The sequence below is a fragment of the Homo sapiens genome, chromosome 18 (genome assembly GCF_000001405.40).
Source record: "Homo sapiens chromosome 18, GRCh38.p14 Primary Assembly".
Lineage (NCBI taxonomy): Eukaryota > Metazoa > Chordata > Mammalia > Primates > Hominidae > Homo > Homo sapiens.
In genome coordinates, this window is record NC_000018.10 from 24,192,979 (window position 1) to 24,207,873 (window position 14,895).

Here is a 14,895-nt window from a genome sequence, read left to right on the forward strand (position 1 = left end):
CACGCTCCTCACAACAACAGAGAGCAGGAAGAGCTAAGGCTCAGTATCAAATTTCCTCTTCCACTCTTAGGACTTATTAACAAATTAAGAAGCTGGGTAAATGGAGGTAAGGGAAGAGAGATGATAGCTGAAGGTATACACATGGCTTCTAGAACTCAGTTTCACCCCCACAAAAAGGACACGAAGTGAAGTATTTGGATTAATGTGATAGAATCAGAAACATGCAGGCTGGGCGCGGTGGCTCATGCCTGTAATCCCAGCACTTTTGGAAGCCAGGGTGGGTGGATCAACTGAGGTCATGAGTTCGAGACCAGTCTGGCCAACATGGTGAAACCCCATCTCTGCTAAAAGTACAAAAAATTAGCTGGGCATGGTGGCATGCACCTGTAGTCCCAGCTACTCGGGAGGCTGAGGCAGGAGAATCACTTGAACCCGGGAGGTGGAGACTGCAGTGAGCCGAGACTGCACCACTGCATTCCAGCCTGGGCAACAAAGTGAGACTCCGACTCAAAAAAAAAAAAAAAAAGTGGTAATATTTGTATTTCTCTCTCAAGACTCCTCATTTTTAATCTTTACTGTCGCTTAGTGCTTATACCTTGATTGTGTCTGCTGCCTAAGAGAGAAGGTCCTACAGCAGACAGTGCCCAAAGAACAATATTTCCAAAAGCTAGGTGATCTCCTTTCAATCCACATTAATAAAAATGTTCTTTCAGAACATTTGTCTCCTATGAACCTCAGCAGAAAGAAGTTTCCAAAAACACGACTTCCCCTGAAGCTCTCTCTCTATGCTTTGAATCAGTAAGTTCTAGAGATATGATTCAGAACATTCTATGGAACCCTTTCAACCCAAACAGCTCTATGTTTATTTGTTGTATTTTATTTATGATTCAGCATAAGCATTTACTTGTACAAGAAGTTATGTGCCTAAACATAAAAGTAAAACCGCATTCTAGAGAAACAGAGTATCTTTCAGAACATAGCAGGTGCAATCCAACATAACATCATCTCCTATCTTTTAAAAGAATGGTTAGTCTCGATTTGGACGTAAACTAGACAGATTGCTAGTCACCTTCATGAACAAATTCATAACACCAACACTACAGCTGACACCCAGTGAAACAGGAGAGAGCAGGAGAAAGGAATCAGTCAACAGAAATACAGAAAACTGTATATTCTAAAGTGGCCAAAAAGACTAAACCATATCTGAAATGTTCATACAAACTCCTTTGACCAAATAACCTTACAAAGATACAGTACAAATTCTATAGTAACTCAGAGCAGTGTTTTTCAAATGGTGGGTCTGGTTCATTAACAAGTTGTAAAATAAATGTAACGAGCTGGAATCAATGTTACTTTAATATAATAGAAAATACAATTTGTAGTAATGATGAGCATTCTTTTGTGAAACTGATTTTAATTTTAAGGACATGCATATATACATATTTGCATACTGGATCATAAAGGTAAACATATTTAACTAAGGGTTTGAAAAATACTGACTCTGCAGAATACAAATAAATACTAATTTTTATCTTGAAATTTTCAGTTCCAAAGAGACAAACGTGTGTTACTGTCATCTGTCTATATACATTTGCTTTGTCCTGTTGAATCCTAATAGAATTGAAATAAAATTAGAGCTCAAGTCTCATTCTCAGCTGTGATTAATGATAATATGAACTATTATTTATTGAGCGCAACGTTAAACCAGGAATAGTTCCAGGCATTTTACATAAATTATTTATCGCTCAATACACCTACCTCTAAGGTACAAATTATGATGCTAGTTCTACACTGGATGGAATGCTACTCACGTAGGAACTGCAACTTGCTTGGGGTCTCACAGCCAGGAAGCGGGAGAGCGGGGATTAGATCCCACATTATCAGGCTCCGAAATTTAGATGAATTACTCTCCATGCAGGAGTCAAAAAATATTTGTTTAAAATTAATGTTTATGAAATTTGTTCCTTGGAAATTACATTTAGGAAGTTTCAGATTTCATTATCCACTCAGAGAAGAGAGACATTGGAAAAATGCCAGAGGCCAGGCATGGTGGCTAAGGCCTGTAATCCCAACACTTTGGAAGGCTGAGGTGGGAGGACTGCTTGAGCCCAGGAGTTCGAGACCAGCCTGGGAAACATAGCAACACTCCTTCTCTACTAAAAATACAAAAAAATTAGCCAGGTGTGGCACGACGCGCCTGTGGTCCCAGCTACTCAGGAGGCTGAGGTGGGCGGATAAATTGAGCTGGGGAGGTTGAGGCTACAGTGAGCCATGAGGGCACCACTTCACTCCAGTCTGGGTAATGAGCCCCTGTCTCAAAAAAATGAAAAGAAATGAAATGAAAAAAGAAAGAAAATGAAAAGAAAAATGCCAAAGTGGGTATCTCTGCAGCGGACAGGATTTCAAGCCACAGAATGAAGTGTGCATGAGGTGACTGTACTTCCCAGCACAGGGAAAGTTCTGGAGTGCTCCCAGGGTACACATTCAATTGCAAAATGTTAAAAGGTAATGTCCAGGCAGATTCTTTTGTGCCACATGACTTACATGTTCGGTGGTCCAAGGTCACACTAGGAAGAGTTATGAGAACTTTACCCAGAATCCTAGCCTGACTGACATCAGGGTGGTGGTGTTGACTACTACCTTCAAGGGAATCCAAGGATTTCTATGAAAGGAAATGCTGCCATCTCCCTACCTCCCCCCACATCAGATCCACCTGCACAGATAACTAAGCAGAGACATATTCCAAATATTTAATATACCACACTTACAAATTCCAAATACGAAAACTTGCTCTGTGCACAGAAGTGTAAGTGAAATTCTGTTCTCCACTGTGGGGTTGTCTGTTCTTTCTGAGAGTTTCTAGGTAAGTCTATGGGGCAATATAAATGTGCTGTGTCAACAGAAACACGGCATTTTCAGTTTCTGTTTGTTTTTTTTTTTACATCAAAAATGCACACTAAAGCCATTAGAGCAGCTCAAATTCTTGTCAGAAAAAAGTCACCTACGACTTTTCACAATTTATGATTCTCGTACGTTCCCATAAACGTTGTCGTGCACCACTTTAATGCAAACTTTTAGGTTCCTTTCTAAAGAATATGCGATTAAACATATCTGCTTAATATCATATGACAAAACCATTAATTTACCATTCCAATACATTTTCTGAGGATGCTCCAGATACTGAAGTCATTTCTGGAAAACATAGGAGAAGGCAAACTTGTTCTGAAAAAAGAAAAGAAAAACATAAAGTTCATTCTAATGCCATTGTCAGCAGGAGGGAAGAACTGCTTTCATTCACATGAGAGCTGCAGGCACAGAAAGACCCTTTAAAAATGTGTGTCATCACAGACAGGGCTAAGCAGGGCTAATCTAGGGTTGCACCTGTTCACCTATACCTACTTTGGCCCCTGAAAGATTCTGTAGCAATCAACTGCTCCTCTGTCTTCAGCATTGCTCTGATCTGAACTCAGTCCTCCCAGTCCTTGGGATCCAGCTGTTTGGACCACCTCAGAGATCCACTATGCTTTCACGTTATGGCACATCTGACCCTGTTGTTGGATTTATGGCACACCTACCATGTTCTGATACTTAATACATTATCATTCTCTAGCCGCTAAATGATGTAAACAAAATGCCATCACAAAGCTTAGATACAGGTTTTTAAGAAATGAAATGGAAAATAGAAAACTTTCATAAAAGCCAAAGTATTTTTAAAAAGTAAAAGCCAAAGTAAAAATAAATAAAAAGTAAAAAGTATTTAGGCCCTGTAACATACATCAGTACTTCCCCAAGGAGACTAACACTAACAAAATTTAGCAATTCTGGGTAGACTGGAAAACAAATTAACCTCTACAGAAAGAGCATCTTCGAAGCCTCTGTAGGTGTTCGAAAGTAGCCAAGGGATGACGGCTGCCTGGGGCTGAAGGTCTGTGGCTTGGATAAGCAGCACATCAGAGTCAGGCCTGGTGGGCAGGGAGCCACCCCATTTCCACAGATCAGAATGGCAGCACCATCAGGAATGAGGGGTGGTGCAAGAGGTGCCCAGGCCAACTTTCCAGAACACTATTATGAAAGTTTTCCAGTTGCTGGCCGGGTGTGGTGGTTCACACCTGTAATCCCAGCACATTGGGAGTCCAAGGTGGGCAGATCACTGGAGCTCAGGAGTTTAAGACCAGCCTGGGCAACATAGTGAAACCCATCTCCACTAAAAATACAAAAATCAGCCACGTGTGGTAGTGCACGCCTGTAATCCCAGCTACTCAGGAGGCTGAGACAGGAGAATCACTTGAACACGTGAGGCGGAGGTTGCAGTGAGCCGAGGTCACGCCATTGCACTCCAGCCTGGGCAACAGAGCGAGATTCTGTCTCAAAAACTAAAAAATAATAAAATAATAAAAGGTTTTCCAGTTGCCTTCTGAAATACATCCATGTAGCTAAAATATTAGATATTTTAAAAATTATCTTCTGAAGAACCTCTAAATTAAACTAATTAATTTGGATTATAGAAGTTAATACAATTTACATTTTTAAGTCAATAATCCATGGTGGAATTCTTCTAGTTTCTTTTTCTTTTTTAGGAACACACACTGCTCATTTGGCAGATATGCCATCTAACCAATCTGCTGGATAAGTGGCCACAGATGGTATTTAAATCACATTCCCCACTATCCAAGACTATCAATCTCTGTGACACGAATAATAGATACCAGGAATAAGAATCCCTGCCATTATCTATGCTTTGCATGTATAATATAGTTTTAGAGATGTATGTAAATTAAATTTTCCATCTATTTTGTTCTTTTCTTTTCTTTTTTTTTTTTTTTTTTGAGATGGACTTTCGTTCTTGTTGCCGAGGCTGGAGTGCAGTGGTGTGATCTCAGCTCACTGCAACCCTGCCTCCCGGGTTCAAGCGATTCTCCTGTGTCAGCCTCCCGAGTAGCTGGGATTTCAGGTGCCTGCCACCATGCCCGGCTAATTTTTTGTATTTTTAGTAGAGACGGGGTTTCACCATGTTGGCCAGGTTGGTCTTGAACTCCTGACCTCAGGTGATCTACCTGCCTCGGCCTCCCAAAGTGCTGGGATTACAGGCGTGAGCTACCGCGCCCAGCCAAATTTTCCTTCTACTGTCTTGGAAAAGTCCATCCAAAGTGTAGCATACCTAGAGAGTTATGAGCTTGAAAGAAGCTTGTGAAGAGGGAATGAGGGCTGTCATTCACCCCCAACAAACGCTGACATTAAATGTATAGACCGTGTGCTACCATTCTAACTAAAGGCAAGAATAGCAGAAAGGCAAGAACAACAAATATCTTGGAGGCAGAAGATGAGAGACATTCGAGCTTTGTAATTATCCTCAGTTTAGAAATTGTCAGAGGACTGTCAGCCAAGAGTCCCACCTGGGAATATCCTATACTCATTTTTATGCACAAAACTTTCTGTGATTTTATGAGAATGTAATCATTACTCATTTATAAGGAAGTCAGATTATCTGCAACATTCATTACCTATTCAGAACATAACCAGAAAGCAGAGGGGAAGGGGTTTTGAAAGGTAAACAGCCGTTACAGAGCCCATGTTATTTTCTTCCGTAGGACACGCAGAGCCAAGAGCCTTGCCTCACTGAGACCACACTTTGTGCAATAAACTGATGGGAAGCAGCAAGAGAAACACCGGCCCACGAGACACCCACGCAGCACACAAGCCATGGCTTAGTAAATGACCTCTCAGTTGCTGACCACAGTCTAAGCCCATAGCATGACGAGGCTGCCAAGAAGACAGGTGCAATCTCAGACTGCCACAATGGGGCAGCAGGCAGAGCGTTCCCGAGGGCAACCTGAGCTGGGACTCAGGCTCAGGTGTCACTGTTGTTTTGGTGTTTTTTTTTGTTGTTTTTTTTTTTTGAGAGAGAGTCACACTCTGTTACCCAGGCTGGAGTGCAGTGGTATGATCTCGACTCACTGCAACCTCCACCTCCCGGGTTCAAACGATTCTTCTGCCTCAGCCTCCCGAGTAGCTGGGACTACAGGTACCCGCCACCATGCCTGGCTAATTTTTGTTATCTTTAGTAAAGATAGGGTTTCACCATGTTGGCCAGGCTGGTCTCGAACTCCTTACATGCAGTGATCCACCCACCTCAGCCTCCCACAGTGCTGGTATTACAGGTGTGAGCCACCACACCTGGCCCAGGTGCCACTTTTAAAAGAAATTGGAAGACCGCCACGCAGGAGGACTGATCCGAGGCGAGGCAAAGGTGTCTGGAAAACATCTCTTACAAGCAGTGCTAAGGGACGTGCAAAGCTAGAGAAACAAAAGCTGGGGGTGTGGCGAACAGTGGGCACAAGGGGGGTCTTGGAATATCGGAGAGAGGGCCTGAGATGGCAGGAGTAATAACATCCTTGCCCCCAGCTCCCCCGGCTCCCCCAGCTGCTATGCACTTCAGCCTGCTTCATCTTCCCCCTCCACAGCACTGATTGACGTGACATAAGGTACACTCTCTTGCTGATGTGTTGATGACCTCCTACCCCCAAACAGTATGTAAACTCCATGAGAACTCATATTCTGTCTACTGCTGTGGCCCTGTTGCCTAGGACAATGGCTAGCACCAACTGGGAGTTTAAGTATTTGTGGCAGAAGCTTTGGAATGTATACGACCTATTAGACATTACCTCTTTTGTAAAGAATTTAGTTTATTCTGTGCTACTCAAGAGAGAAGGACTATTACTGCAGGTGAATGCTTATATTAGGGTGGCTAATATAAAGACCTGTGTCACAATGAATTCTAAAAATAGGAGATGAGAGAGGCCTCTTAAGGAAGGGTTTCAGACAGAGGCTGGAGGATTCCACCAGTCAGGGCACAGAAAGGCACCCCAGCTCGACCAAGGATGCTGCTAAACATCATGCCAGGAACAAGACAGGCTCCACAACAAAGAATTACCCACCTACAACGTCAGCAGTGCCAGGGTCAAGAAATCCAGCCAGAGAAATACAATGAGAGCTTCATGTATAATCTCAAATTCTGTAGTAGCCACATTTTAAAAAATCAAAACTAATTTTAGTAATTTATTTTATTTAACCCAGTATATCCAAAATATTAGCATTTCAACATATAAATACATACAAAAAATGATGTTATACTTTTTTCCATATTGTCTTTGAAATCCAGTGTGTATCCTACACTTTTAGAGCATATCTCAATTAAGCTACTAAACAGTTAACATGAAATCTAGTCTTAACAGTCGTTTTTAATGGAAGAACAGTTTCTGCTTCATTTTACAACTGATGTTAATTAAAATTAAGTAAAAAATCAGGCCGGGCGCCATGGCTCACGCCTGTAATCCCAACACTTTGGGAGGCTGAGGCGGGTGGATCACAAGGTCTGGAGTTCGAGACCAGCCTGGCCAAGATGGTGAAACCCTGTCTCTACTAAAAAATACAAAAATTAGCAGGTGCAGTGGTGGGTGCCTGTAATCCCAACTACTTGGGAGGCTGAGGCAGGAGAATCACTTGAACCTGGGAAGCGGAGGTTGCAGTGAGCTGAGATTGCGTCACTGCACTCCAGCCTGGGTGACAGAGTGAGACTCCGTGTCAAAAAAAAAAAAAAAAAAAGTAAAAAAATCAGTTTCTCAGTCGTACTACCCAGATTTCAAGGGCCCAAAAGCCACACGTGGCTAGTGGCAACTGTACTGGACAGAATGGATCTCTGTGATTACTTCTGAAAACAAAAGGGTTGTATTGTTTCAAGAATAGCGTGGGGAACAAAAATTTTATGACTCTAAAGTCAAGAACAGACAAAAAATAGTCCACAGTCTAATCATCAAGAAAATGCTAAATCTTCTGCAGTGTTATTTGAAGAAGCAGAGGGAGTAGAGAAATTTTAAAAAAAAATTAGGTAGGAGATTCAGTTAAAAAAAATAATTTGTGTTGAAAAGGATGTGTTTCCATATTTAAAAATTTCACTCTCTCTGCCAGGAAAAAAAGAAGAGAGAATTCCCGAATGGTGTTGGATGGCAGTGTTACTCCAGGCAGAAATAAGAACAGACGAGAGCAGCAATCAGAATTTTCAGGCTGAAAGCACAGCTCAGTGATTCTCTCTCGGTGGAGTTTATCTGAGGGTCATTATCTTGCATTCTATGCTTCCTTTTTCTCTTCATACAGAGAGAACACACCCTGTACCAGGGACTGGCAGTGATATGTCCTGGTTCTATTTTCAACCATACAGATGACATTACGACTATCTAGACAACAGCACAATAACTGGTTTTTAAATGAAGAGTCTCACAGTGGTTTCATCTATGTGATGCAAACGGCTCCGCCTGCTAGCACACCATTATTTCCCTGCTACACAGCATTGTAGGCAGACCCCAAAGAACCAAATTCATTAAAGAAGTGTTGACTAACAAATGCTGTGCTTGAATCCCCCTTGTTCTGAAAGTTGTGAAGGTCAAGAGATCACGATCTCCAAAATCTTTAAACGTTATTTGGATGGCAGAAATTACCTGTTATTTGGGCCCGGCACAGTGGCTCATGCCTGTAATCCCAGCACTTTGGGAGGCCGAGGCAGACAGATCACTTGAGGTCAGGAGTTTGAGACCAGCCTGGCCAACATGGTGAAACCCCGTCTCTACTAAAAATACAAAAATTAGCTGAGCGTGGTGGCACATGCCTGCAGTCCCAGCTACTCGGGAGGCTGAGGCAGGAGAATCACTTGAACCCAGGAGGCAGAGGTTGCAGTGAGCTGAGGCTGTGCCACTGCACTCCCACCTGGGCAACAGACCAAGAGTCCATTAAAAAAAAAAAAGAAAGAAATTGTATGTTATTTGGAAGCTGAGCCTCACAAATTTACCTAACTGCACAGATCTCCTTTATCTACCCGCTGGACACTGAGCCCACCTCCTGCATCTGCTCTGTGGATTGCTAGGCTAGACACTCAACACTGTTTGCTCATAGAGGCCCTCTGAAAAAAAGAACAAGATGATAACACAAAGGTAGGCAAAATTAAGCTTCATCTGGAATTGGCTGCCAGGCGTTTCATGCTTTCCAGGTTTGCCTCCTGATTTTCATGAGACACACATGAGCTCTTCTGGGTCTTGTGTGTGTGCATGCATATATTTACTGAGACATCCTTATACTTGGCAGGAGGTCGGGGAGGTGTCATCTCTTTCATGGAGGCTATAAAAGAACCGTGGAATGGAAACCAGAGCTACAGTGCAAACTCTTGCTACCACCCAGCTGCGTAACCTGGGGCAAATCTTGCAAGTCGAAGCTACACAGCTGTACAATTCTCCTTCTGCTGGCAGCTAGATCTGCACTAAGGAAAATGCCTAGGACAATTAAGGCTTCTCAGAAATGAAGGTTCAACTTCTTACCTACATGTCAGTTTTTAAGAATTTTTTAAATTGTTATTTTTATAAAGTACAAACATACTAAGATAAAAACACTCATTGTCAGTGGTGACATCATCTGTCCACTAAATTATCTTCTCACTACGTAGGAGCTCTTTGTGTATTACAGATATTTCATTCACCACCTGCATTACAGATAACTTATCCCAAGTCTAACATTGGTCATGTGATTCTGTTTACGGTATGATTTGCTAAACCAAATCTACCTACCTGGGAAGGCTACATATGTTATTATCATAATCTACATGTGAAACATAAACAGCTATCATTCAGTATTTTCCCAATGAACAAAATAAAAACAATTCATTATTAACAGGTATTCCAGAACAAAAGGTAAATTTCTTAATTCACAACATTTGGTATTTTTCCAACGGACAAGAAAAAAGCAATTCATTATTAACAGGTACTCCAGAACAAAAGGTAAATTTCTTAATTCACAACGCTTGGTAATCTTGACCTTAAATTTTTAGGAATTCAAGTTCTATGTCAAAACCAAAACAACACACATAATTAAAACAATCTTCTCGGGCATATGCCAAATGGTAGTAAATACAACTAAATTAGAGGGGGATGGAGTATGTGGTTATTTTTCAAATTAAAAAATAATTACTTTTTTTGGAGACAGAGTTTCGCTCTTTTTGCCCAGGCTGCAATGCAACGGCGCAATCTTGGCTCACTGCAACCTCCACCTCCTGGGTTCAAGCGATTCTCCTGCTTCAGCCATCCGAGTAGCTGGGACTACAGGCATGCGCCACCATGTCTGGCTCATTTTGTATTTTTAGTAGAGATGGGGTTTCACCATGTTAGCCAGGCTGGTCTCGAACTCCTGACCGCAGGTGATCCACCCTCCGTGGCCTCCCAAAGTGCCGGGATTACAGGCATGAGCCACCGTGCTTGGCCAAAATATATTATTATATAACAAAGGAAATGATCTACAGATAAAGGACAAGCTAGACCTCTCCTCCTGCACTCTCCAATACCAACAGTAACAGCACAAGTGCTCCTTTCCACACCCCCTCTTCACACAAACAAGGGTATACAGGTATGTGCATTTTTTAAATTGAAATATTACCCTATAGGTCACATTGCTTTTTCACGAAATATCAAGGACACTCCCCTTCACATCGACAGACACAGGTATATCTTTCTTTGTAATACCTTTAGGCACATGTACACGTATGTAGGTAGCATCTCACACACGCTGGTTTTATTTTTAATGTAGTCTTTCCCCGCTTTGTTCTTTTTGCTTGCCACCCCACTCCTCCATCTCCACCACCACTCTACCACCCTATAATCCATGTTAAGAAGCTGGCATCTATTTTTCTGTGCTTTTCCACATGTTCCCAAAGAGCCACATGTAGAGCATGCATGTGTGCACACACAAAGGGGTGTGCTGCCCTTCATATTCCAAATTAGGGTACTAATTATACACACTTCTCTATGGTCTGCTTGTCAATACTGCACGCAAATTTGTTGATGTCAAATGGTATACTAATTATTTTAAGGAATGTATAATATGCCATAAGAATACTATATCTCAAAATACATTTTGTCATTCTCCATGAAAGGCATTTACCATTTCATTCTTTTGCCAAAAGAAACAATGCAACAAAAATATTTCGATATATGATGTATTCTTATTTAAATCTGATGCCTTCATTTTAATGGGGCAGAGCACCGGGGTTAAAACTGCTGGGTCAAGGAGTATCTCTATTTCACATATCCACAGATGCGGCCAGACTGCTTTTGGAGAAGCTTTTAACAATTTCGTATCTCACCAGCAGTCTATGAGCACTCTCTTCCCACCAGAAAGAGTTGGTGTTAACAGGTGTTCTTGTCCTTTTAGGTTTTGGGTCTGACTGCGGTAATGATGCTACCTTGTTATTTTACTTTGTTTTTCCTTGACTACTAGTGAGTTAGAACATTTTTCATATGCTTAATGACCATCTGAATTCACAGATGGTCAACTGCCTATTTATAACATCTATACCGCTGGATTTTTTTGTTATTTAGTAAGAATTTTTTTTGTATGTGATAGCTATTAATCTTTTGTCACCTAGATTGTACATGGTACCATCTGCAGGTTAACAAAAAACTTTTACAAACAAGTATGTCTCCTTTTTAAAACTAGCTTCTGTGTTTTCTATCTTGGTGAAGGCTTCTCCCACCCTAAAGCTGTTTCTTTTTTTTTTTTTTTAAACATGATGTTCCCATTCTCTAAATGATATATATATATTTCTTCTCTCTCAAGTCCATAACTCTACATAAAGATAGCTAGGTCTCTTTAAGGGGTATGTCCTTGTTTGCTCATCTGGGGCCACTTGAGACTAAGATTCTCGTGCCCTCTATGCCTTTCACAAACAGGGTCTGTGCAGTGGCCCTATTCCCTTTCTCCTAAGACAGAGGAGCTCTCTCTCCAACACTTCTCTTACTCGCAATTCCAGGAATCTTAATAGTCTATATTTTTATTTAGCTTCATTCCAGCTTCTATCTCGGTTCAAAAGACCCTTGATCATTGATTTGTATGTTTCAGGGAAGACAGAAAAAGTTCAGGCGTTTTTAAAAAAGCAACACTTTCACAAATGCTGTGAAATCAAAATATCCCCAGGCTAGCTTTAAAGAGTTCTACTAAGATGAAGTGGATGAATACTAATGGCTAGCATTTAGTGAGAGTTTGCTCCAGTTTAGACTGTGTTAATCACTTAATGTGTATCACCTCATTTAATCCTCAAAGTAATCTTATTAAGCACTGGTATTAAATAACTTGTCCATGGTCATATATTGAATTAGTAGAATGGATTCTTTAACTCCACAGCCGTCACTCCTGGCTTTCAGAACTCTGCCACTTACTGACTGTGTGAACTTGAACATGTAACTAACCTATTCCAAACCTCGGTTTTTCTTAGAAAATGACAATACTAGTGTTTCATATGGCCGTGGTGGAGTTCCCATGAAACAATGCATACAGAGAGTGTTTTTAAAACTTTAGGCCCCATTCATTCTGATCTATAGACTCAATTTAATGGTAATATAACCAGCATTTTAAAAAATGAAATCAAACTCATCTGGCAAGGGTAGGTATTGTTAATGAAAATTCTGTCCCAACAATACACATTCACCCCATATGTGTGCATTATGTGGTCAAATTTAATTTTATTTTAAATATGGAAATTGGTCAGTGATATAAAACATTCAGCCCAGTGCCTGGTAGGTAGAAAACCTTCAACATGAAGTAGAGATTGATATTATTGTTATTATCAATAATTTCAGGGAAAATTTTCATCTTCCTGCCTGAGTTGTTAAAGATTTAAAACTACTATTACTTTTTGGATGAAAAATTTACTAATTACAGTTTCAAAAGATGATCTAAAAATGGTTATTTATTAAACAATTTTCATAACTACATTAAGGTTTTCACAGAGAAAGAGGAATGAAATTGTTTCTATTGCCCTGGAGAAAAGCAGAAAATGAAATGGTTTTCACCACTTGTGCTTCTTTTCCCCTAGGAAGCCTTTTTTATTGTTGTTGTTTTGAGACAGAGTCTCGATCTGTCACCCAGGCTGGAGTGTAGTGGTGTGATCTCGGCTCACTGCAACCTCCGCCTCTGGGGTTCAAGTGATTCTCCTGCCTCAGCCTCCCAAGTAGCTGGGACTACAGGCATGTGCCACCGTGCCCGGCTAATTTTTGTACTTTTAGTAGAGATGGGGTTGCACCATGTTGGCCAGGCTGGTCTCGAACTCCTGACCTCAGATTGTCCTCGCACCTTGGCCTCCCAAAGTGCTGGGATTACAGGTGTGAGCCACCACACCTGGATGGAAGGCTTTATACCTGGATGGTGAATGCCAGCCAATGGCTGTCACCTGGGACCAGATACAGGTACAAATGGAAGAGATTTTTCAAATTAATGAACTATCCCTTCTAAGAGCTTCTGGTTAGGAGGCTGCAGAATGCTAAACAAAGAATCTTTAAGCAGAGACTGTGGTTAAGACATAATGAAGCAACTCAGGAGGGACTCTGACTTGGAAATGTCCCTTTCTTTTCTGCCATTTAATAATTCATTGGTATTCTTTGTTTTAATGTCATATGACCAGAGTGAAAGTGCTGGGACAATTCCGTCCAATTAACATTTTTCATTTAATTAAAATGACGAAAGAACATACTAATAAATCCCAAACAATTTTACTGCGCCTTAAACATTCCATTGACATGATTAGATGGTATTAAAACTCATTCCCATCCAGATCCGAGGGTTACGTCCTCTCCCAATCTATCTCTGGGAGACTTCGAGCATGCTCCTCCATTCAGGCTTCTCTTCTGCACCCAGCCTTGGGGAATGATCTCAAAGTCAGCCACGATGTCAGCAATGGGATTTTGAAAGCAACTCAAAGGTTCTAATTTAGAACAATGAAATTGGCTAGTTCCGTGCTCAGCTTAAATTTCACAATTCTTTATTTTCCCTACCTTCATTCATTCCCTCTGCTGTTTTTTACATATCTGCCACTCAGAGTGTAATCCCCCTCCGCTCTGAGACTCTGAGATTAGAGACTATGTCTTATTCTCCTCTGTGTCCTTCAGGGTACAGAATATTTTGCATATGACAGGTGCTCAAAGTTTTAAAATAAATGATTTTACCTAATGTCTCAAGTTACGATGGAGCCAAAGAAAGAAAAACGGTGAAAAAATGATATGGATAAGTAAGCAATGAGGTATGAAGAACACAACAATCATTTTCCGTCTTGCTCTGTCACCCAGGCTGGAGTGCAGCGGTGCGATCTTGGCTCATGGCAACCTCCGCCTCCCAGGTTCAAGCGATTCTCCTGCCTCAGCCTCCCGAGTAGCTGGGATTACAGGCACCCACCATCATGCCTGGCTAATTTTTGTATTTTTAGTAGAGATGGGGTTTCACCATATTGGCCAGGCTGGTCTCGAACTCCTGACCTCAGGTGATCTGCCTGCCTTGGCCTCCCAAAGTGTTGGGATTACAGGCGTAAGCCACTGCGCTCAGCCTCTTATGTCACTTAAAAGAATATTTTCAAAACCAACTTATTTAACACACATTTTCACTTGCACTTAACAAATAAGTATTTTTTATTAAGTATTATGTAGGAATCATAATTTTAGGTAGCAGAATATTGATCTGTATATTTAGAAAAGTGAGAAACAACTTAATTCTTACCTCTGATTCCAGATTAAAGAATGAACTAAAAATCTAAGAAAACTATTCCACAGAGAAACAGATTTCAACACATCTGTAACTACAACATTGACAATCTGTATGTATACATGTATACTGTTATACGTGTGTTTTGCACTTGTGTGTGTATAACTATTTACAGCTATTAGATACTTATCACCTCTCTTCTCAACTATCAGACTTCTTATCGTTTCCTCCAAATCCTTCCTCTGTCACCCAGGCTGGAATGCAGTGGCACAGTCTTGGCTCACTGCATCCTCTGCCTCCTGGGTTCAAGCGATTCTCATGCCTCAGCCTCCGGAG

The 14,895-nt window shown here is 41.1% G+C and overlaps 1 protein-coding gene across 5 annotated transcripts in view, besides 2 other annotated features; it reads right to left on the bottom strand.

The window, feature by feature from the left end:
- Positions 1 to 14,895, bottom strand: part of OSBPL1A (oxysterol binding protein like 1A) — a 235,780-nt gene that overhangs the window by 30,934 nt on the left and 189,951 nt on the right. For 4 of the 5 annotated variants that reach the window (XM_017025530.2, NM_001242508.1, NM_018030.4 and 1 more), the window contains one exon: positions 3,147 to 3,222. The exons of the other annotated variant lie outside the window; for it this stretch is intronic. In XM_017025530.2, coding sequence (XP_016881019.1) covers positions 3,147 to 3,222 — 76 coding nt within the window. The remainder of the gene's footprint in view (positions 1 to 3,146; positions 3,223 to 14,895) is intronic. 5 annotated transcript variants of the gene reach the window in all.
- Positions 3,579 to 4,080: an enhancer, noted in NCBI's record as "H3K27ac hESC enhancer chr18:21776521-21777022 (GRCh37/hg19 assembly coordinates)". NCBI's record gives its function as "activates a minimal SCP1, AML or CMV promoter by ChIP-STARR-seq in naive H9 embryonic stem cells {active_cell/tissue: H9 hESC(naive)}" and the evidence as "EXISTENCE:reporter gene assay evidence [ECO:0000049][PMID:30033119]".
- Positions 4,081 to 4,580: an enhancer, noted in NCBI's record as "H3K27ac hESC enhancer chr18:21777023-21777522 (GRCh37/hg19 assembly coordinates)". NCBI's record gives its function as "activates a minimal SCP1, AML or CMV promoter by ChIP-STARR-seq in primed H9 embryonic stem cells {active_cell/tissue: H9 hESC(primed)}" and the evidence as "EXISTENCE:reporter gene assay evidence [ECO:0000049][PMID:30033119]".